A 22,991-nucleotide genomic window follows, 5' to 3' on the forward strand; every position below is an offset into this window, starting at 1 on the left:
CTCACACCTGTAATCCCAGCACTTTGGGAGGCCAAGTGGGTGGATCACTGGAGGTCAGAAGTTTGGGACAGCCTGACCAACATGGTGAAACCCTGTCTCTACTAAAAATACAAAAATTAGCTGGGCATGGTGGTGCATGCCTGTAATCCCAGCTACAGGAGAGGCTGAGGCTGGAAAATCACTTGAACCTGGGAGGCAAAGGTTGCAGTGAGCTGAGATTGTGCCATTGCACTCCAGCCAGGGCGACAATAGCGAAATTCCATCTCAAAACAAAACAAAACAAAACAAAAAAAAAAAAAAAAAGAGAAAAGGGAAAAAAATAATGCAAGAAAGAGGTAGAGGTTTCCTTGTCTAGGACATAGTAATCTGCCTTGAGAAAATTCTCCAGTTTGTGAGGGTGAGTTCTGGTTGGATGCCAGGGGATTCCCCTGACAAATATTCTTATAATATTAAGTAGGAAAAAGTTCCCTGACTTGACTTTAATTTGATTCTCAAGGATTTAAAGATGTTTTTCTTTGCAACCATGGCAAAGAACAAAACTGGAAACTATGAAAAGGCAAAATGAAACAATGAGAAGGATAGTCATATATTCATAAAGACCAAAATAATATTTTTGTCAAAATTTGAGTCACTTCTGGTTGGGCGCAGTGGCTCACGCCTGTAATCCCAGCACTTTGGGAGGCTGAGGAGGGAGGATCACTTGAGGTCAGGGGTTCTAGACCAGCCTGGTCAACATGAAGAAACCCCGTCTCTACTAAAGATACAAAAATTGGCTGGGTGTGATGGCTCATGCCTGTAATCCCAGCACTTTGGGAGGCCAAGGCAGGTGGATCATGAGGTCAGGAGATCGAGACCATCCTGGCCAACATGGTGAAACCCCGTCTCTACTAAAACTACAAAATTTAGCTGGGCGTGGTGGCACGTGCCTGTAATCCCTCACCCTGTCACCAGGCTGGAGTGCAGTGGTGCAATCTTGGCTCACTGCAACGTCTGCCTCCTGGGTTCAAGTGATTCTCCTGCCTCAGCCTCCCGAGTAGCTGGGATTACAGGCACCCGCCACCACACCTGCCTAATTTTTGTATTTTTAGTAGAGATGGGGTTTCACCACGTTGGTCAGGCTGGTCTCGAACTCCTGACCTCGTGATCTACCTGCCTCAGCCTCCCAAAGTGCTGGGGTTACAGGCATGAGCCACCGCACCTGGCCCTACCAGGCTTTTTGGTTGCCTCTTAGGATAGCAATAATTGATGACTAGTCCCCTGAAAATTTCCTGTGCAATGGAAACGACTTCCTTTCTGAATTGTCTTCATCAGTAGGAGCAGACAGCAATTTTCACAAATGCTAGAAATGCCGGTGTCAGCTTCCCATCCTAGGGCACCCAGGTTAGCCCACCTATGCCCTCTTTGTAGCTTTCATTGCTTTGGGTATAGAAATGGATCCAGGAACTCATGAGATACAGTGGCAGTATGCAGAGAACGTTCTACTGAAGAAGAGGACAATCAACGCTCCTTCATAGGAGATGTTGCCTAATAGCTCTGAGAGTTGGGATTTCGGCCGGGCGTGGTGGCTCATGTGTATAATCCCAGCACTTTGGGAGGCCGAGGCAGGCGGATCACGAGGTCAGGAGATCGAGACCACCCTGGCCAACATGGTGAAACCCCATCTCTACTAAAAATACAAAAATTAGCTTCGCGTGGTAGTGCGTGCTGGTAGTCCCAGCTACTCAGGAGGCTGAGGCAGGAGAATCACTTGAACTCAGGAGGCGGAGGTTGCAGTGAGCCGAGATTGCACCACTGCACTCCAGCCTGGTGACAGGCGAGTCTCCGTCTCAAAAAACAAAAAAAAAAAAAAGAGAAGTTGGAATTTCTTGGGGAGTCAAAATGAGAAAAGGATGATCTCACAGGGCTCACATTTTCAGCCTTTCTCTCTTGTGGTGTGTGAAGGCCGTTGGTGGTGGTGTTTTCTTTTTCTTTTTTTTCCTTTTGTTGAGACAAGGTCTTGTTCTATCACCCAAGCTGGATTGCTGTGGTGTAATCATGGCTCACTGCAGCCCCAAACTCCTGGGCTCAATTGATCCTCCCATCTCAGCCTCCCTGGGAGCTGGAACCACAGGTACACACCACCACACCCAGCTAAATTTTTTGTTTGTTTGTTTTTGTTTTTGTTTTTGTTTTTGTTTTAGAGATGGGGTTTCACCATGTTGCCCAGGCTGGTCTCAAACTCCTGGACTCAAGCAATCCAGCTGCCTTGGCCTCCCAAAGGGTTGTTCTTAACATGGACGTTACTGATAAAGATTCTGCTTACAAAGGCCACTCACATTTTCCGGGCCCAGCACCTAAGGGGAGGCCATTGAAGGGATGTCATGGTGCAAATGAGTTCCTTTCCCTCTCCAGGCTCCAGTCCTCATTAACAAACTGGAAGTGACAGCAGCCACAAGAACAACTCCCTAAAAGCTTTGCTGGCAGGAGGCAAAAGGGATGACGCACCATGCCTGGAACATCCTAAGTGCTCAATAAATGGCCGCCGTGGGAGGCTGCTGCCCCAGGTCCTCCTCCTTCACCACAGGGTTCTTGTAAATTTCCTAACCGTCCTTGGAGGCCTACGTTCCCTGCTGCAGCCATCCTGAGGCTCCTACCCTGTGACCTCATGGTTTCATAACAAAGATAATGACAGCTGGACCAGGTGCAGTGGCTCACCCCTGTAATCCCAACACTTTGGGAGGTTGAGGCAGGAGGACTGTTTGATGCCAGGAGTTTGAGATCAGCCTGGGAAACATAGCAAGACCTCATCTCTACAAAAATAAAAAAATTAGCCAGGTGCAATAGCATATGCCTATAGTCCCAGCTACTTGGGAGGCTGAGACAGGAGGACCACTTGAGACCAACAGTCTGAGGCTGCAGTGATCATTCCACTGAACTCCAGTCGGGGCAACAGACCCTGTTTCTTAAAAAAAAGAGAGAGATAATAACAGCTAATTTATTGAGCACCTGCTATGTGCTGGGAAGTACCTAAACACTTTATATGCATTAACTCACTTAATCTTTGCAACAATGCCATGAGATAGGTACACTGTCATTTCCAATTCAAGGTGAGGAAACTGAGGCACAAGAAGGCTTTATTTTGCTGCCCAGTTGCTGCAACTCAGCAGGGCACTGGGCCCCGGGCTCAGGCTCAGTCCCGGGCCTTCCCCCCAGCTTCCCCTTTAACTCTGGAATCTTTGTGGGCTTGATCTGACAAAAATCCAGCAACTGTGTGGAAGATGGTTTGGAGGAAAACGTGCTTTGCGTTTCTAAAGTCAACATCTCCATGAACTTTTGGAAAAACGTTCCTTTATCCAATTGGGGCTGTTGGTATTTGAGGGGGGGTTGGGGCTCCTGAGGTGGGGCTGAGCTGTGCTACAAAGTGGTCGCCCCACCCTTACCACAGTACTGCACCCCACACCTCTGGGGACTCCTTCTGAGACAGCGGGTCTGGTAGGCTTCCAGCAGTTACTTTATGTTTTTGGATCATCTATCTGGACTGGCCCAGTTTCCAGTGGCTTCCTCTATGTAACTCTCCAGAGACAGCCGGGATGTTTCAAGTGCTGGCTCCCTTTGAAGGAGGTCTCCTTCACAGACTGGATCTTCAGGTTATCAAATACTGTTGTGTCCACAATTGGTTCCTTCCAGTGAGTTCTTGATCTCACTGACTTCAAGAATGAAGCCACGGACCCTCGCGGTGAGTGTTACAGTTCTTAAAGATGGTGTGTCCAAAGTTTCTTCCTTCTGGTGGGTTTGTGGTCTCGCTGACTTCAGGAGTGAAGCCACAGACCTTCACTGTGTGTGTTACAGCTCTTAAAGGTGGCACGTCCAGAGTTGTTTATTCCTCCTGGTGGGTTCGTGGTCTCGCTGACTTCAGGAGTGAAGCTGCACACCTTCGCAGTGAGTGTTACAGCTCATAAAGGTAGTGTGGACCCAAAGAGTGAGCAGCAGTAAGATTTATTGTGAAGAGTGAAAGAATAAAGCTTCCACAGTGTGGAAGGAGACCCGAGCGGGTTGCCCCTGCTGGCTTAGGTGGCCAGCTTTTATTCCCTTATTTGGCCCCACCCAGGTCCTGCTGACTGGTCCATTTTACAGAGTGCTGATTGGTGCGTTTACCATCCCTTAGCTAGGCACAGAGTGCTGATTGGTGCATTTACAATCCTTTAGCTAGACACAGAGTGCTGATTGGTGCGTTTTTACAGAGTGCTGATTGGTGTGTTTACAGTCCTTTAGCTAGACACAGAGCGCTGTTTGGTGCGGTTTTACAGAGTGATGATTGGTGTGTTTACAGTCCTTTAGCTAGACACAGAGTGCTGATTGGTGCATTTTTAGACTGCTGATTGGTGCATTTACAATCCTCTAGCTAGACAGAAAATTTCTCCAAGTCCCCACCCGACCCAGAAGCCCAGCTGGTTTCACCTCTCACTGTCACTATGACTTGTCATTTGCATGAAAGCATTTTCCATTTTCCATGTCCCTTCACCTCTTAGCTGTAGGGAGATGGAGGATTGATTTCATCTTTTCTGTCCCTTATTTATTTACTTATTAAATTTTTTTTTTTTGAGACGGAGTCTTGCTCTGTCACCCAGGCTGGAGTGCAATGGCACGGTCTCAGCTCACTGCAACCTCTGCCTCCCGGGTTCAAGTGATTCTCCTGCCTCAACCTCCCAAGTAGCTGAGACTACAGGTGCCTGTTACCACGCCCAGTTAATTTTTGTATTTTTTAGTAGAGGCGGGGTTTCACTATGTTGGCCAAACTTGTCTTGAACTGCTGACTTCGTGATCTGCCTACCTCAGCCTCCCAAAGTGCTGGGATTACAGGTGTGAGCCACTGTGCCCTGCAATTTTTTTTTTTTTTTTAACGGAGTCTTATTCTGTCCCCCAGGCTGGAGTGCAGTGGCATGATCTTGGCTCACTGCAACCTCTGTCTCCCAGGTTCAAGCAGTTCTCCTGTCCCGAGTAGCTGGGACCACAGGAGCACACCACCACACCCAGCTCATTTTTGTGTTTTTAGTAGAGACAGGGTTTCACCATGTTGGCCAGGCTGGTGTCAAACTCCTGGGCTCAAGTGATCCTCCCACCTTGGCCTCCCAAAGTGCTGGGATGACAGGTGTGCCTGCCTCTTATTTAATTTTGAACTTTAATTTTAATTTTTTTTTAATTTAAAATTTTTATTTTTATTTTTATTTAATTAGAGACAGGGTCTCACCAAGTTGCCCAGGCTGGGCTCAAACTCCTGGGCTTAGGTGATCCTCCCACCATGGCCTCCCAAAATGCTGAGATTACAAGCGTGAGCCACTGCACCCTGCCTAGTCCCTTATTTAGAAGTGGGGAGGTTGGTGCCTCCTTAGAAGTAATTCTTTTTTGCCACTGATGGTAACAGCTATGGTTTCTTGTTTCTGTTCTTTGTCCTTAGCAGTGTGCCCAGGTCTTTATGTCCAATCTCGCCAATTTCACAGATGAGGAAACGGAGGCTCAGAGGACTTATGTGCTAGGCGGAGCTGGGGTTGAAACCCAGTTCTGTCTAGTGCCGAAGCCTGTTTTCCTAACCACCAGACTCTCCTGCCTCCAGCTGCCTGCAGTGCTCCGTGGGGATCAAGAGGGTGCGCGTGGGGCTAGTCCAAATGGCAGGTGACTTTGAAAAATCCCTGTTTGAGGCCGGGCGCGGTGGCTCATCCCTGTAATCCCAGCACTTTGGGAGGCCAAGGCGGGCAGATCACGAGGTCAGGAGATTGAGACCATCCTGGCCAACACGGTGAAACCCTGTCTCTACTAAAAATACAAAAGTTAGCTGGGAGTGGTGGCGTGCGCCTATAGTCCCAGCTACTTAGGAGGCTGAGGCAGGAGAATCACTTGAACCGGGGAGATGGAGGTTGCAGTGAGCCGAGATCGCACCACTGCACTCCAGCCTGGGTGACAAAGCAAGACTCTGCCAAAAAAAAAAAAAAATCCCTGTTTGCCTCTGGAATCCATTATTGATGAGACTTACTTGTTCTGTTTAGGCTAATATTGATGTTAATTTGCATTTTGTGAGCTTACAGTAGCTCAAGGTATGGAAGCTGGGAGGGGGAATCAAGGAAGAAGTCAGATGGAGGTTGGAAATCAGCCTTATTGCACCAACAAAGTAGTGGCTATAGAAGTGGGTAACCGAGGCTTGGCCATGTGTGCAGGTTTTATGGTAGACGATGAAATGATGAATTTCGGTCTGTGATGCAGGTTCATTGAGTTCAGACACTTCTAATTTAAAATTCACAGCGACCAAGCAATGGCTGATTTGAAGGCTTTCTGCATTTACTTAGCAAAAAAAAAAAAAAAAAAAATTCTTTTCACTGGGTGTGGTGGCTCACGCCCATAATTCCAGCACTTTAGGAGGCCGAGGTGGTCAGATCACGAGGTCAGGAGTTCGAGATCAACTGGCCAATATGGTGAAACCCCATCTCTACTAAAAATACAAAAATTAGCTGGGCATGGCGGTGTGTGCCTGTAGTCCGTGCTACTCGGGAGGCTGAGGCAGGAGAATCACTTGAACCCAGGTGGCGGAGGTTTCAGTGAGCTAAGATTGCGCCATTGCACTCCAGCCTGGGCAACAGAGCAAGATTCCGTCTCCGCCTCCACCCCCCGCAAAAAACAAAAACAAAAACAAAAACAAAAACAAAAAAGATCATACAAATGAATACAATAAACAAAGATGTTGGAGACTTTACTGTTTTGGGGGAGTTTTCAGTGCCTTGGTAACATGCATTTCTTTCCAGACAACAATCCCTATTAAGTATGTGTCTTATTCCCAGTTTATTAATGTTGTCCCCATGGACACCTCTATGAGGCAGCTTTCTGTTAGGCCAGATTGTCATCCTCCTTTTTAAAATGCTGAGATGATGATTTTCTCCAATTATGATCAGTCTTCCTTCTGATTTAATGAGGTTTGATTTGTTTCAGAAAATTTTCATGCCTATACCTGCCACACTTTAGCAGCGGCCGACACCTGGCTTGCCACGGTGGGTGCATGTATTTATTGTGTGTATAGAGAGAAGGGAGGATGTCACTGTGAACCAAAGAAACCCCAACTAATTGCAACACAAAGAGTGTTCCCTTGCTCAGGACCCCCTTTTTTTTTCATGGCCATTTCTGGAAAAGATGAGCTGCTCCAGGCAAGATATTCTTCAGAAACATCAATTTCTGTGAAAACACAGTCCAAAGAAAATGCAGAGGAAATCAGATGGCTGTGTGCCTTCCTGGGCCAGCGCTTGTTTTTGTTTTTGTTTTTAGGTGCAGTCTCGCTCTGTCGTCAGGCTGGAGTGCAGTCTCGCATCCTCGGCTCACTGCAACCTCTGCTTCCTGGGTTCAAGTGATTCTCCTGCCTCAACCTCTCGAGTAGCTGGGATTACAGGTGCCTGCCACCACACCTGTCTAATTTTTGTATTTTTAGTAGAGACGGGGTTTCACCATGTTGGCCAGGATGGTCTCGAACTCCTGACCTCAGGTGATACACCCGCCTCGGCCTCCCAAAGTGCTGGGATTACAGGCGTGAGCCACCACGCCTGGCCACCAGCGCTTGTTTTTAATGGGGGCATCTGATACTTGTTCCCATCAACAGGCCCCTCTCTCTCCTTCATCTCATTCTTATTTACCCATCTGCAGAAAAACACACAAAGCTGTCTCTCTAGCTCCAAGAAGACTTGGACGTGATGCGGCTTGCTTGGCACATATATCTTTTTTTTTTTTTTCTTTTTTTAACATTCTTTTGAGTTGTTCAAGATAGAGAAAAGAAATTACAGGCTGGGCACAGTGGCTCATGCCTATAATCCTAGAACTTTGGGAGGCTGAGGCAGGCGGATCACCTGAGGTCAGGAGTTTGAGACCAGCCTGGCCAACATGGCAAAACCCCATCTCTACTAAAAATACAAAAATCAGCCAGACATGGTGGTGGGCACCTGTAATCCCAGCTACTCAAGAGGCTGAGGCGGGAGAATCGCTTGAACTGGGGAGGTGGAAGCTGCAGTGAGCTGAGATCATGCCATTGCACTCCAGCCTGGGTGACAAAGCGAGACTCCATCTCAAAAAAAAAAAAAAGAAAAGAAAAGAAAAAGAAATTACACACATGTTCAGGCCATGTAAAAATTTCCAAATGGCTAAGATCATGACCTGATATTGACTATTATTTAGCCTAGGGCGTGGTCTAGGCTGTCTTTGACAAGAATGAAGACATGTGAAAGACAGCCTAGACCAGTGTCATTCATTCATGCACGCATTCATTCAACAAGCCTGTGCTGATTGATGGTCATGTGCCATTCACTGATGGTGAGGTGGACCGACTTGCCTCTTCCTAAGAGGATGAACACTTCTAGTTGTTTTCTAGTGATGGCGGTGGGTTTTCTTGACGCACAGCTTGCCTAGAGATTGCTTGTGAACCAGGATACTCATTTCCCAAGGATAACTGAGTAAGGAAAGCAAGGAAGACTGTTAGAGTAGAAGGACAGTCAACCACCCAGGCCTCCTGGCCACCATGTTCTGATCAGTTAGGCTGTTGCACTCAGCTATGATGTGGCTTGTGCTGATGGCAAAGGCTCCAAGTCAAGCTGATTTGCAAAGGTTTATACTTGGATGAAGCAGACTTCCCTAAGTCCTTGACAGTTGACCCCATACTGAGGGAGCTGCATTGGTGATAGGTACCTGCCACTACAGACCCTCTTTCTGGGAACATGAGCCCCAGTAGATGACATTCAGTGTGGACTCCATCGTTGATTCATGTGTCACTCCTAAAGAATAGAGTAAGTGGGCTGGGTGCGGTGGCTCATGCCTGTAATCCTAGCACTTTGGGAGGCCGAGCAGGCGGATCATGAGGTTAGGAGTTCGAGAATAGCCTGGCCAACATAGTGAAACTCTGTCTCTGCTAAAAATGCAAAAATTAGCTGGGCATGGTGGCATGCACCTATAGTCCCAGCTACTTGGGAGGCTGAGGCAGGAGAATCGCATGAACCCAGGAGGCAGAGGTTGCAGTGAGCTGAGATTGCGCCACTGCACTCCAGCCTGGGGGCAGAGTGAGACTCCATCTCAAAAAAAAAAAAAAAAAAAAAAAAAAAAGAAATTAACACACCCTTTCTCAATTAAAAAAAAAATAAATGAAACAAGCTTATGCTCAGATTTCACTACTGTTTTGTTTTGGTTTCTTCAATTTAGTAGTGTTTCATTTTAAAAACCAGACCACGCTTTTTATTTTGTTTGTTTGTTTTTTTTGCACCCAAGAAGAGGCCCAGAATTGCAAAATCCTTTTCTTAGATTTAGTCCAGACATATGTTTCTGAGAACATTTGCTTTTACATGAGTAATAAGTGGGACAAAAGAAATGAGAGAAATGAATGATCTATATTTTTACATGGAATAATGTATAAAAGTACACGTAAGGCTGGGCGCAGTGGCTCACGCCTGTAATCCCAGCGCTTTGGGAGGCCGAGGTGGGTAGATCATGAGGTCAAGAGATCGACACCATCCTGGCCAACATAGTGAAACCCCGTCTCTACTAAAAATACACAAATTAGTCAGGCATGGTGGCATGTGCCTGTAGTCCCAGCTGCTTTGGAGGCTGAGGCAGAATTGCTTGAACCCGGAGGCAGAGGTTGCAGCGAGCCAAGATTGCACTCCAGCCTGGTGACAGAGTGAGGTTCCGTCTCAAAAAAAAAAAATATATATAGTGTATGCATGAGGCCAGGTGCTGTGGCTTATGCCTGTAATCCCAGCATTTTGGGAGGCTGAGAGGGGTGGATCACTTGAGGCTAGGAGTTTGAGACCAGCCTGGGTAACATGGGGAAACCCTATCTCTACCAAAAAAAAAAAAAAAAAAAAAAATTAGGTGCGGTGGTGCATACCTGTAATCCCAGATACTTGAGAGGCTGAGGCATGAGAATGGCTTGAACCTGGGAGGCTGAGGTTGCAGTGGGCTGAGATCACACTGCTGCATTCCAGCCTGGGCAACAGAGTGAGACTCTGTCTCAAAAAAAAAAAAAAAGGTACATGCATACATGCATGAAAGATCTTTGAAACAATGAAAAGTTCTATAGGTGTATGTAAGATTACAGTAATTGAAGCAGTGTGTTATTGGTAAAAATAGTAGAATATGGATGAATAGAACACAGAAGACCACCATAAGCAGATCCCAGAACACGTAATAAGAGTTTATGATAAAGGCGTTTTACAAACCATTGCTAAAGGGATGAATTATTTAATTAATGATGGTAAGAGAATGAAATATCTGAGAGAGGTCTCAAGTTATGTTTACCTTCACCATCAGAGATCAAACCATGTCAAAATGAATTCAAGATGGATGAAGAGTAAGATGCAGTAACAAAACCATTAAAAAAAATCCAAAAGAAGATCTAAATGATCTCAGAGTCAAACAGGACATTGTAATTTATTATTTATTTATTTATTTTTCGAGATGGTGTCTTGCTCTGTCACCCAGGCTGGAGTGCAGTGGTGTGATCTTGGCCCACTGCAACCTCCACCTCCCAGATTCAAGCGATTCTCCTGCCTCAGCCTCCCCAGTAGCTGGGATTACAGGTGTGTGCCACCACACCCGGCTAATTTTTGTATTTTTAATAGAGACGGGGTTTCGCCATGTTGGCCAGGCTGGTCTTGAACTCCTGACCTCAGGCGATCCACCCGCCTCGGCCTCCCAAAGTGCTGGGATTACAGGCATGAGCCACCACGCCCGGCCTATTTATTTATTGAGACAGAGTCTCACTCTGTTGCCCAGGCTGGAGTGCAGTGGCCCCATCTCTGCTCACTGCAATCCCCGCCTCCTGGGTTCAAGCAAATTTCATGCTAATTTTTGTATTTTTGGTAGAGACGTGTTTCGAAATGTTGGTCAGGCTGGTCTCGAACTCTTGACCTCAAGTGATCTGTCTGCTTCAGCTTCCCAAAGTGTGAGATTACAGGCATGGGCCACCATGCTCGGCCTATGTAGACAATGTCATTTTAAAAAATGGAAGTAATTAAAAAGGGAAAGACCCATAGATTACATTATATAAAATGTAAAACATTTTTTGGTCAAAATATCATAAGCAAAATTAAAACACATATTACAACAAACACCAATGAAATATATTAAGAGCTTTAAAAATATAAAACAGCTGGGCGCGGTGGCTCATGCCTGTAATCCCAGCACTTTGGGAGGCTGAGGCGGGCGGATCACGAGGTCAGGAGATCGAGACCATCCTGGCTAACATGGTGAAACCCCGTCTCTACTAAAAGTACAAAAAATTAGCCGGGCGTGGTGGCGGGCGCCTGTAGTCCCAACTACTCAGGAGGCTGAGGCAGAAGAATGGCGTGAACCCGGGAGGTGGAGCTTGCAGCAAGCTGAGATCGCGCCACTGCACTCCAGCCTGGGGGACAGAGTGAGACTCCGTCTCAAAAAAAAAACAAAAACAAAAACAAACAAACAAACAACAACAACAAAATATATATATATATATATATATATATATATATATATATATATATATATATATGAAACAGGCCAGTGCAGTGGCTCACATTTGTAATCCCAGTGCTTTGGGAGGCCCAGGTAGGAGGATTGCTTGAGCCCAGAAGTTTGAGAACAGCCTGGGAAACATAGCAGCATCCTGTCTCTACAAAAAATGAAAAAATCATCAGATGTAGTGACACATGCTTCTAGCCCTAACTACTTGTGGGAGAATCACTTGAGCCCACTTGAGCCCAGGAGTTCCAGGATGCTATGAGTTATGATTGCACCCATGTACTCCAGCCTGGGAAACAGGGTAAAACCTTGTCTCTAAAAAAAAAAAAAAAAAAAAAAATTATATATACATATATATGTAATGAATGCTTGCACCAAGAGAAAAGTAAGCAAAAAGTAGGCAAAAATATAGATAATTCATTAGAAATACACATTAATGGAAAATATATTTTAAAGAATTCACACATACAAGGAACAAAATGATTATTTAAATGCAATTCTGTGATTCTAGTTTTCCCTCATCAAATTAGTAAAGATAAGAAGAATATTTAACTCTAGGTTACATTTGCAGGAAAACAAGCCCTTTTATGTACATTTGATGAAGGTGTAAATTGCTAAAATATTTTTCAAAATCAATTTGTCAATATATATCAACAGTCCTAAAAATATTTATGCCCTTTGCTCCAGTAATTTCATATCACACAGTCATCAGAGAGATGCAGACCAATATTTATATCCTGGGATTTTATTGCAGCATCATTTGTAATAATGAACAATTGGAAGCAACTCAAATATTCAACAGAGAACAATTATAAACAACATTATGATATATCAAGAAAATGGAAGATTATATGGCTGGTAAACATCTTGTGCTATGGTTTGGATGTGGTTTGTCCCTGCCAGACTCATGTTGAAATTTGATACCCAATGTAGCTGTTTTGGGAGGTAGGGCCTAGTAGGAGGTGTTTGGGAGGGGGACAGTTCCCTCATTAATAGATTAGCTCTCTTCTGCGGCTGGGCGCGGTGGCTCACTCTTGTAATCCCAGCACTTTGGGAGGCTGAGGCGGGCGGATCATGAGGTCAGGAGATCGAGACCATCCTGGCTAACATGGTGAAACCCCGTCTCTACTAAAAATACAAAAAATTAGCCAGGCGTGGTGGTGGGCGCCTGTAGTCCCAGCTACTCGGGAGGCTGAGGCAGGAGAATGGTGTGAACCCGGGAGGCGGAGCTTGCAGTGAGCTCAGATGGCGCCATTGCACTCCAGCCTGGGCGACAGAGCAAGACTTCATCTCAATAAATAAACAAACAAACATTACATTAGTGCTTTTCTGCAAGGGTAAATGAGTTCTCCCTCTGGCAGGAATAGATTAGTTCCTCTGGCAGGAATAGATTAGTTCCTTCCAGAGCAGACAGAGATTGTTAAAAAGAAAAAAAAAAAGTCTGGCTGGACACAGGGCTCACACCTGCAATCCCAGCACTTTGGAGGCTGAGGCAAGAGGATGGCTTGAGCCCAGGAGTTTGAGACCAGCTTGAGCAACATAGCAAGACCTCATCTCTACAAAAATAAAAATTAAAAAATTAGTCAGGCATGGTGGCATGGGCCTGTAGCTCCAGCTACTCAGGAGGCTAAGGCGTAAGTATTGCTTAAGCTTAAGGGTTGGAGGCTGCAGTGAGCCGTGATCATGCCACTGCACTCCAACCTGGGTAATAGTGTGAGACCCTGAAAAAAAAAAGTCTGGCTTCCCCAGTTTTTCTTTTTTGCTTCCTTTCTTGCCATGTGATCTTTGCACACCTCCACTTCCCTCCTGTTTTCTGCCTGGAGTGGAGGCCCTCACCTGATGCCCCTTCCCAATCTTGGATTTTCCAGCCACCAGAATCATGAGCCAAATACATGTATTTTCTTGATAAATCACCCAGCTTCAGGTCTTCTGTAATAGCAACACAGAACAGACCAAGACATTTTGTTTTCAAAGAATATTCCATGTCACGGGGAAAGTTTCATAATATGGTGTTGTGTGAAAATAGATACACTGGTTCTATTTTGAAATAAATACATATTTAAAATGAAACAGGAAGAAAATATGCCAAAATGTTAACTGGTTCCCTTCCCTCTCCTCCCCTCCCCTCTCCTCCCCTCCCCTCCCCTCCCCTCCCCTCCCCTTCCCTCTCCTCCCCTCCCCTCCCCTTCCCTCTCCTCCCCTCCCTTCCCCTCCCCTTTCCTTTCCTTTCCTTTTTGAGAAAGGGTCTTGCTCTGTAACCCATGATAGAATGCAATGGTGCAATCATGGCTCACTGTAGCCTCGAACTCCTGGGCTCAAGCAATTCTCTCATCTCAAGATGTTGAGAGTACAGGTGTGTGCCACCACATCTGACTAATTTAAAAATATATATATTTTATATATTGATATTGATAGAGACAGGATCTCACTATGTTGCCCAGACTGGTCTTGAATTCCTGGACTCAAGTGATCCTCCTGCCTTGGCCTCCCAAATTGTTGGGATTACAGGCATAAGCCACTGCACCTAGCCCAGATTTCTACCATAAGCGTGGATTGTATAATGCAGAGCATAAATAACAATCAAATAGGAAGAGGTAGCAACGTTTATTTTCACTAAACTGAAAAGCACTGCCTAAGTGCAATTTTATTATATTTATTGTTCTCTAATACAGACTCTAAGCCCATTATCAATCAATCCAAAAGCCTGTTATCTAGATAATTCTAGACAATGCAAAGTCCTTCATCTAAAATTGAAGCTCCTTGGAGATCAGGTCCCTGGTTACTTTCCCGTTCCTGTTATTTACCATAACAGGCTGGCCTCCTCCCGATTCCCTAAACACTTCTGAGTCTCCTCTGCTCCTTTTTTGTTTTTGTTTTTGAGATGGAGTCTTGCTCTTTTCGCCCGGGCTGGGCTCACTGCCACCTATACCTCCCCAGTTCGAGTGATTCTCCTGCCTCAGCCTCCCAAGTAGCTGGGATTACAGGTGTGCACAACCACGCCTGGCTAATTTTTGTATTTTTAGGAGAGATGAGGTTTCGCCATTTTGGGCAGGCTGGTCTCAAACTCCTGACCTCAGGTGACCCGCCTGCCTCAGCCTCCCAAAGTGCTGGGATTACAGGCAGGAACCACCATGCCCTGCCCCTCTGCTCCTTTGCATGTGCTGTTCTTTCCATCTGGAATTTTCTCAGTCCTTCTCCCTGTCCATCCAGGTCCCCAGGGGTTCAAATCAAGTCCTCTCTACTCTGAGAACATCTTCCCAGTCAAGCCTCTGAATTCCTACAAGCCTTTGTTATATTAAATAATTCTCTGTTATCTAACTTTCTCTGAAGGCATCTGTTTCTGCAACTGGATTGCAAGCACCTTGTCTAGTGTGATGCTTATATATAAGAGTAGTGTTAGTACACTGCAGGTGCTCAATAAATACTGCAGATTATCCTTTTTTTTTGAGATGGAGTCTCGCTCTGTCGCCCAGTCTGGAGTGCAATGGCGTGATCTTGGCTCACTGCAACCTCCGCCTCCCGGGTTCAAGCAATTCTCTGCCTCAGCCTCCCGAATAGCTGGGATTACAAGCGCCCGCCACCATGCCCGTCTAATTTTTTTGTATTTTTAGTAGAGACGGGGTTTCACCATGTTGGCCAGGATGGTCTTGAATTCCTGACCTCGTGATCCACCCACCTTGGCCTCCCAAAGTGCTGGAATTACAGATGTGAGCCACTGCACCTGACCAGATTAGCCCATTTCTAAGCTACTTGTGGCAACATGGTCCTCTATGCGTTTAGGAAACTGTTTTTTTTCTTTGCATGTTTCCCCTCACCCTCCCCAAACAAAGCCATTTAGAGACCAATGGACCAGACCTTGCGTAATCTCAGTGAGCCTGTGAGCATCCCAGATTGAACAGAAATTCAGCTGTAGACCTAGGAGATGTTTATTATCCTCCCTCCTTCTTTTGTTGCTTTTCACACACCTCTGTGCTCGAAAAGAGTCACCTGGTATATGAACTCTACACAGATGCTTGGACTCTTTTGTCCTTTTAACCTAGCAAGGGAAGGAGTTGTAAAGGATAAAGACTTCTTTTTATTACCTTTTAAAATAAATGAAATCGGCCGGGCATGGTGGCTTACGTCTGTAATCCCAGCACTTTGGGAGGCCGAGGCAGGCGGTTCACTTGAGGTCAGGAGTTCACGACCAGCTGGACCAACATGGTGAAACCCCGTCTCCACTAAAAATACAAAAATTAGCTGGGCGTGGTGGCATGCGCCTGTAGTCCCAGCTACTTGGGAGGCTGAGGCAGGAGAATTGCTTGAACCTGGGAGATGGCAGTTGCAGTGAGCTGAGATTGCACCACTGCACTCCAGCCTGGAAGACAGAGCAAGACTCTGTCTTAAAAAAAAAAAAATTAAAAAAAATAATAAAATGAAATAATCTTTCATTTTAGTTATGGAGTTTGAGGAAGAGTGAGGCCTTCCTTACAGAGCTGGGGCCAGCTGTGTTTATACTGAACATCAGGGCCAGGACCTAAGAATGGTGACAGGTGTGGGTGGCCACAAGGTATAGGCAAGAGGTCACAGACTCAGATACCTGCATGGCCAGACATGTAGCAAACTGGGCGGGTGTGAAACAGTAGCTGTGGGTGGGACCAGAGGTGGAAGTACATGATATTTAAGCTTCCTGAGCCCTTACTTGCTCAGGCCTCTGGAGGGACCCTAGCAATTCTGTATTTATAATTTCAATTTATTTTACTTAGAGAAGTCACTCCAACTAATATAAGCTTCAGGCCCGATAAAACCTATCTTTGCCCTTGGTGGAACTCTGGTACCCAACATGCCCTGGCCTAAGTTAAGTTGGATCATTTGGCCTCAAGTGATGACAGCTAATCAGAAGTGTTTCTAGGGCTTTTGGTTTTTCCAGAGCAGGAGGAGTCCAGATTTTTGTATGAAATCTCTGACATTTTAAATGTTGGTAACTTACAGCCAGGCACGGTGGCTCACACTGTAATCCCAGCACTTTGGGAGACTGAGGCATGTGGATCATTTGAGGTCTGGAGTTCAAGACCAGCCTGGGCAACATAGTGAAACCCCATCTTTACTACAAATACAAAAATTAGCTGGGCATGGTGGCACGTGCCTGCAATCCCAGTTACTTGGGAGGCTGAGGCAGGGGAATCACTTGAACCCAGGAGGTGGAGGTTGCAGTGAGCTGAGATTGTGCCACTGCACCCCAACCTGGGTGACAGAGTGAGACTCTGTCTCAAAAAAAAAAAAAAAAAAGTCGGTAACTTAAAACAAAAAACCACTGTGGCCAAACAAGTTGTGTGTATATATAGCAGGGAGTGAACTCGTGGACTGCCAATCTGTGACTTCTGGTTATTTGAGTTCAGAGGAATTACAGAATTGCCAAATTCTGTCATTTGGCTCCATGGCAGGGTCTACCTGCCCTGTGTCCTCTGCCCGTTAGAACATGTTTGGATAGGTCTCTGCCAGGGAGCTTTGATCTTTTCTGTGGCTGCAGCCAACAGCCAGACATCCTCTAAATGTCAGCCACTAGTCACAAGGACAGAAAGCCGACTGAGGGTGCGGGTGGACAAATTGGTGTAAATTCATTTCCACAGTCGGCAAAGCCAACCAAAGCACGTGGTCCACTGACAGTGATGTGGCAGCAAAGTCACTTGAACATGTGAAGACAAAGTGGGGTGGCTGTTGTTCTTCCCGGGCACTGATTAATCATGTAGGTGGGTAACTGTGTCGTGCTCCTCCGGAGGGCTGCAGCCAATGAGTTCAGGGGAGATTTATATAACTGCTCAGACGGAGAGGAAGTCACTTCCCTCTAGCTCCCAAATCCACTTGAGGCCACACACCCAGGCTTTCATAACTGCAGGCTTTCTACCTTGTGAACACTCCTCAGAAACTGCAAAGGGCCCCCAATTAAAGGAGTGACTTCTGTGTGTCATTTCATGTATAGAGCATGATGCTTCTTCTAAAGCTCCCGGGATGACAGGGGACATCAGATGGGGCCACAGGCTGGTATTTGGGGCAGAACGCAACTGTCAAGGATATTGGGGAGAAAGACGAGGCTGATAAGAACAAGGGATTTCGAGTGACAGCCTGTGGGCGTCCTTCCGTTGTCAGCTCAGATCGGCCATAAAGCTGCTTTGAGTGGCTGTGTTTCCATTGCTAATTAGCATGCCGTGGGAGCTGCTTTGCCATAGAGAGGTTTCAGGGCCTGCCGCATGGTTTTTTTTTTTTTTGAGACAGAGTCTCACTCTGTCGCCCAGGCTGGAATGCAGTGGCCCAATCTCGGCTCACTGCAACCTCCTGGGTTCAAGCAATTCTCCTGCCTCAGCCTCCCAAGTAGCTGGGATTACAGGTGCACACCACCACGCCTGGCTAATTTTTGTATTTTTAGTAGAGACGGGGTTTCACCATGTTGGCCAGGCTGGTCTCCAACTCCTGAACTCAAATGATCCGACCGCCTCGGCCTCCCACAGTGCTGGGATTCCAGGCGTGAGCCCTGATGCCCAGCCTGCTGCTTGGCTTCTAAGTAACTAGCAGGATCTGCGGTGGTGGTGAAGCGTGCTTTGCATAAGGCCAGAGCCTAGGGATCTGTTGTATAAACTCCACTTCTGCTTCTGACTGGGGGGGGCGCAATTGCAGAACATTTAAGAGAGCATCCCCCTTCCTGCCCCCCCATGCATGGACTGCTTCTGGAAAGGGCCTATCAGAACCCCCCCCCCCCCACAAAGGGGGCTATTTATTTATTTATTTATAGACGGAGTCTCGCTCTATTGCCCCAGCTGGAGTGCAGTGGCACAATCTCAGCTCACTGCAACCTCTGCCTCCCAGGTTCAAGCAATTCTCCTGCCTCAGCCTCCTTAGTAGCTGGGATTACAGGCGCACACCACCACGCCCAGCTAATTTTTTTTTTTTTTTTTTTGGTATTTTTAGTAGAGATGGGGTTTCACCATGTTAGCCAGGATGGTCTCTATCTCCTGACCTCATGATCCGCCCACCTTGGCCTCCTCTCGAAGTGCTGGGATTACAGGTGTGAGCCACTGTGCCCGGCCAATTTATTTATTTTTTTGAGACTGACTCTCACCCTTGCATCCAGGCTGGAGTGCAGTGGCAATATCTCAGCTCACCGCAACCTCCACCTCTCGGATTCAAGCGATTCTCCTGCCTCAGCCTCCCAAGTAGCTGGGACTACAGGCTCCCACCTTCTTGCCCAGCTAATTTTTGTATTTTTTAGTAGAGACTGGGTTTCACCATGTTGGCCAGGCTGGTCTCGAACTCCTGACCTCAAGTGATCCGCCTGCCTCAGCCTCCCAGTGTTCTGGGATTATAGGTGTGAGCCAGTGCGCCTGGCCAAAAAATCTATGTAGTTGCAGAAAAAGCTGCAGGTTGGGCATGGTGGCACACACTTGTAGTCCTGGCTACTTAGGAGGCTGAAGCAGGAGGATTACTTGAGCCTAGGAGTTCAAGTCCAGCCTGGGCAATATAGCTAGACCCCATCTCTTAAAAAAAATACAGAAGTTAGCCAGGCATGGTGGTGGGTGCCTATAGACCCAGCTAATTGGCAGGCTGAAGTGGGAGGATCCTTTGATCTCAGGAGGTTGAGGCTGCAGTGAGCTGTGATCATGCCACTGCACTCCAGCCTGGGCGATAGTGTGAGACCCAGACTCTAAAAAAGAAAAATAAGAAAGAAAGAAACTGCAGTAGATAATGTATAATGGGAGACAATAAAAGAAGGAAGATGAAGCATTTCTCCCCAGGGAGTTAGACTGTCATTCTGTCTGTCTGAAACCTTCCCAGTAAGTCAGTATTTCTGGTGTGTGCCTGGTAGAATTGCCTTGCTTTGTCTTCTAATTCATTCACTCACAAAATAATGTATGAATTCCGATTATAATCCAGGCCCTCGTTCCCATGCTAGGCACATGTGATGAGTGAAACATAGTCCCTGCGATTTGGAGCACCCATAATGAACAGTGTAAAAACTAAATGTCGGCCGGGCGCAGTGGCTCACACCTGCAATCCCAGCACTTTGGGAGGCCAAGGTGGGTGGATCACCTGAGGTCAGGAGTTCAAGACCAATCTGACCAACATGGAAAAACCCCATCTCTACTAAAAAAATACAAAATTAGCTGGGCATGGTGGCGCATCCCTGTAATCTCAGCTACTCGGGAGGCTGAGGCAGGAGAATCGCTTGAACCCGGGAGGAGTAGGATGCAGTGAGCCGAGATTGCGCCATTGCACTCCAGCCTGGGCAAAAAGAGCAAAACTCCATCTCAAAAAAAAGAAAGAAAGAAAAACATTGGCCAGGTAAGGTGGCATGTACCTGTAATCCCAGCTAGCTACTTGGGAGGCTGAGGCAGGAGAATCGCTGGAACCCAGGAGGCAGAGGTTGCAGTGAGCTGAGATTGTGCCACTGTACTCCAGCCTGGTGACAGAGCAACACTCTGTCTCAAAAAAAAAAAAAAAAAAAAAAAGAAATGTTCTAGATTCTAATGAAGAATGATGATATAGTTTGGATTAAGTATCTTGGACTGTTTTTTTTTTTTGTTTTTTACTTTATTTACTTTTTTTGAGATGGAGTTTTGCTCTGTCACCAGGCTGGAGTGCAGTGGCATGATCTTGGCTCACCACAACCTCTGCCTCCCGGGTTCAAGCGATTCTCCTGCCTCAGCCTCCCAAGTAGTTGGGACTACAGGTATGTGCCACCACGCCTGGCTAATTTTTGTATTTTCAGTAGAGACGGGGTTTCACCATATTGGCCAGTATGGTCTTGATCTCCTGACCTTGTGATCCGCCCTGCTTGGACACCCAAAGTGCTGGGATTACAGTCATGAGCCACGGCCCCCGGCCTGTCTTCAGTTTTTTGCATCGTACCTAAGTGTGGACTTTTACAAATTTATGTTGCTTGGGATTTGCTGGGCTCTTAAAAACTGTGAGTTGATGTCTGCCGTCAGCTCTGGAGAATTCCTGGCTATTATTTCTCCAAACATTGGCTTTGCTCCAGTATCTCATTCTTCTTTCTTTCTGTATGTCAATTAAATGTATGTTAGATCTTTTTAACACACTCTCCTTTTCATATTTTCCTTTGTTTTTTTTCTTTTCAAGCTGAATTCTGTATAGTTTTTTCTGACCTGTCTTCTGGTTCACTAATTCTCACTTCAGCCGAGATGATCTGCTATGAAGTCAGCCGTTGGCTTTTTAACTTCAATGACTGTATTTTTCAGTTTGAGAATTTCTAGTTGGCCATTTAAAAGATCTTTTATGTCATTTTCTATAGTTTCCTGTTGCTATAATTGTCAAGAGTAGCTTTTATGTTTCTGAAGGCGGTAAACAGAGTTGTTTTATGGCCTGTGTCTGAGAATTCTCATTTCTAAAGTCTCTGCGAGTTCGTTTGCACTCTTGGCTGTTCCTGCCATCCTAGCTCTTAATGCCTTGTTTTCTTTTTTCTCTCTTTTTTTTTTTTGTGACGGAATCTTGCTCTGTCATCCAGGCTGGAGTACAGTAGTGTGATCTCTGCTCACTGCAACCTCCACCTCCCTGGCTCAAGCAATCCTCCTACCTCAGCCTCCTGAGTAGTTGGGATTACAGGTGCGTGCCACCACACCCAGCTAATTTTGTATTTTTAGTAGAGACGGGGTTTCGCCATGTTGGCCAGGGTGGTCTCGAACTCCTGGCCTCAAGTGATCCACCTGCCTCAGCCTCCCAAAGTGCTGGGATTACAGGCTTGAGCTACCACGCTGGGCTGTGATGTCCTGCTTTCCTGAGTGCCTGAATTCTCTTAGGTGGTATCGGCCACTGCATATGTATGAATATATATATATGAATAATGGTGGAGTCTTCCAGAGAGGTTTTTAGCTGTGTCTGCCAGGCCTTGAGGCACCACCAGTCTGGAACCACCTTAATCCAAGTTCAAAGTTTGAGACTCCCGGACCGCCCAGACGATCTGAACTTGACTGTGAGCCTGAGGGCTGCATACTTGCCCTTCTCCCCAACCCTGAGGAGCTTGCTTGACATGGGGAGTGGTGTATCTGGATCCCCAGCCTTGGCAGGTCCTGGGCTCTGAATTGTGTTCAAAGCCTGTGAGACTATGGAAAGAATAGCTCATTTTCAAAGCTGTTTTTTTTTTTTTTCTTTTTTTCCAGATTGACAAATGCCTTAGAATAAAAGCTCTGTGGGCTGGGCAAACCACTTCTGGGTTTGTCCTGGCCTTGATTTTGGCAGATGTTTCTTCGCTACCTTATTATCATTTTGATGCTCTTAAGAAAACTAAACAAATCTTTCAGCCAGCTTTTAAGTTGTCTTTCGTAGGAGGGTTGATCTAAATTACTTAACCTGCTATTGGCAAAGGGAAAAGTACCAGGTGACCTAGGTTCAAATCCTAGGTGTGTCTATCACTTCCAGCTGGCTGATGTCAGCCAAGTTTGTTTCCTCATCTATCTGATGCACACAGTAAACCCTACCTACTTGACTGTGTGGCTGTGCAATTTAAAAGTGAACATTGTTTTTTGTAAAGGGGTGTACTCACAGGTTTGTTTATTGTTTATGTCCCACACTAGAATGTCAACTCCAAAAGAATGTCACTTCACTGGTATTTCCCCAACAATGCCTGATACATAGTAGATGCTCAATCAACATGGACTATAGGAAGGGTTACTTTGTAAAGATAATCAAGTACTTACCCAGGATACATGTATGTAGGCTGGGTACAGGCGCTCATGCCTGTATTCCAAGCATTCTGGGAGGCTGTTGTAGGATCACTTGAGGCCAGGAGTCTGAGACAAGCCTGGGCAACATAGTGAGACCCCCATCTCTACAAAAATAATTTTAAAAAAATTAACTGGGCATGGTGGCATGCACCAGTAGCCCCAGCTACTCAGAAGGCTGAGGCAGGTGGATCCCTTGAGCCCAGGAGTTCAAGGCTACAGTGAGCTGTGATGGCACCACTACACTCCAGCCTGGGTGACAGCAAGATTTTGTCTCTGAAACATTTTTTTTTTTTTTGAGACTCACTCTGTCCCCAGGCTGGAGTGCACTGGTGCCATCTCAGCTCACTGCAACCTCCACCTCCCTGCTCCAAGTGATTCTCCTGCCTCAGCCTCCTGAGCAGCTGGGATTACAGGTGAGCGTCACCACACCCAGCTGATTTTTTATATTTTAGTAGAGATGGGGCTTCGCCATGTTGCCCAGGCTGGTCTCAAACTCCTGACCTCAGGTGATCCACCCATCTTGGCCTCCCAAAGTGCTGGGATTACAGGTATGAGTCACTGTGCCCGGTCTGAAACTTTTTTTTTTTGAGACAGAGTTTGCACTGTCACCCAGGCTGGAGTGCAGTGGTGCTATCTCGGTTCTCTGCAAGCTCGGTCTCCCGGGTTCACGCCATTCTCCTGCCTCAGTCTCCTGAGTAGCTGGGACTACAGGCGCCCACCACCAAGCCCGGCTGTTTTTTGTATTTTTAGTAGAGGTGGGGTTTCACCGTGTTAGCCAGGATGGTCTCC

The 22,991-nt window shown here is 46.3% G+C and overlaps 1 pseudogene, besides 2 other annotated features; it reads right to left on the minus strand.

The window, feature by feature from the left end:
* Positions 17,270-17,770: an enhancer, noted in NCBI's record as "H3K4me1 hESC enhancer chr10:12365022-12365522 (GRCh37/hg19 assembly coordinates)". NCBI's record gives its function as "activates a minimal SCP1, AML or CMV promoter by ChIP-STARR-seq in naive H9 embryonic stem cells {active_cell/tissue: H9 hESC(naive)}" and the evidence as "EXISTENCE:reporter gene assay evidence [ECO:0000049][PMID:30033119]".
* Positions 17,771-18,271: an enhancer, noted in NCBI's record as "H3K4me1 hESC enhancer chr10:12365523-12366023 (GRCh37/hg19 assembly coordinates)". NCBI's record gives its function as "activates a minimal SCP1, AML or CMV promoter by ChIP-STARR-seq in primed H9 embryonic stem cells {active_cell/tissue: H9 hESC(primed)}" and the evidence as "EXISTENCE:reporter gene assay evidence [ECO:0000049][PMID:30033119]".
* RN7SL198P (RNA, 7SL, cytoplasmic 198, pseudogene) lies at positions 22,379-22,636 on the minus strand (annotated as a pseudogene).

The sequence above is a fragment of the Homo sapiens genome, chromosome 10 (assembly GCF_000001405.40).
Source record: "Homo sapiens chromosome 10, GRCh38.p14 Primary Assembly".
In the NCBI taxonomy this organism is placed as follows: domain Eukaryota; kingdom Metazoa; phylum Chordata; class Mammalia; order Primates; family Hominidae; genus Homo; species Homo sapiens.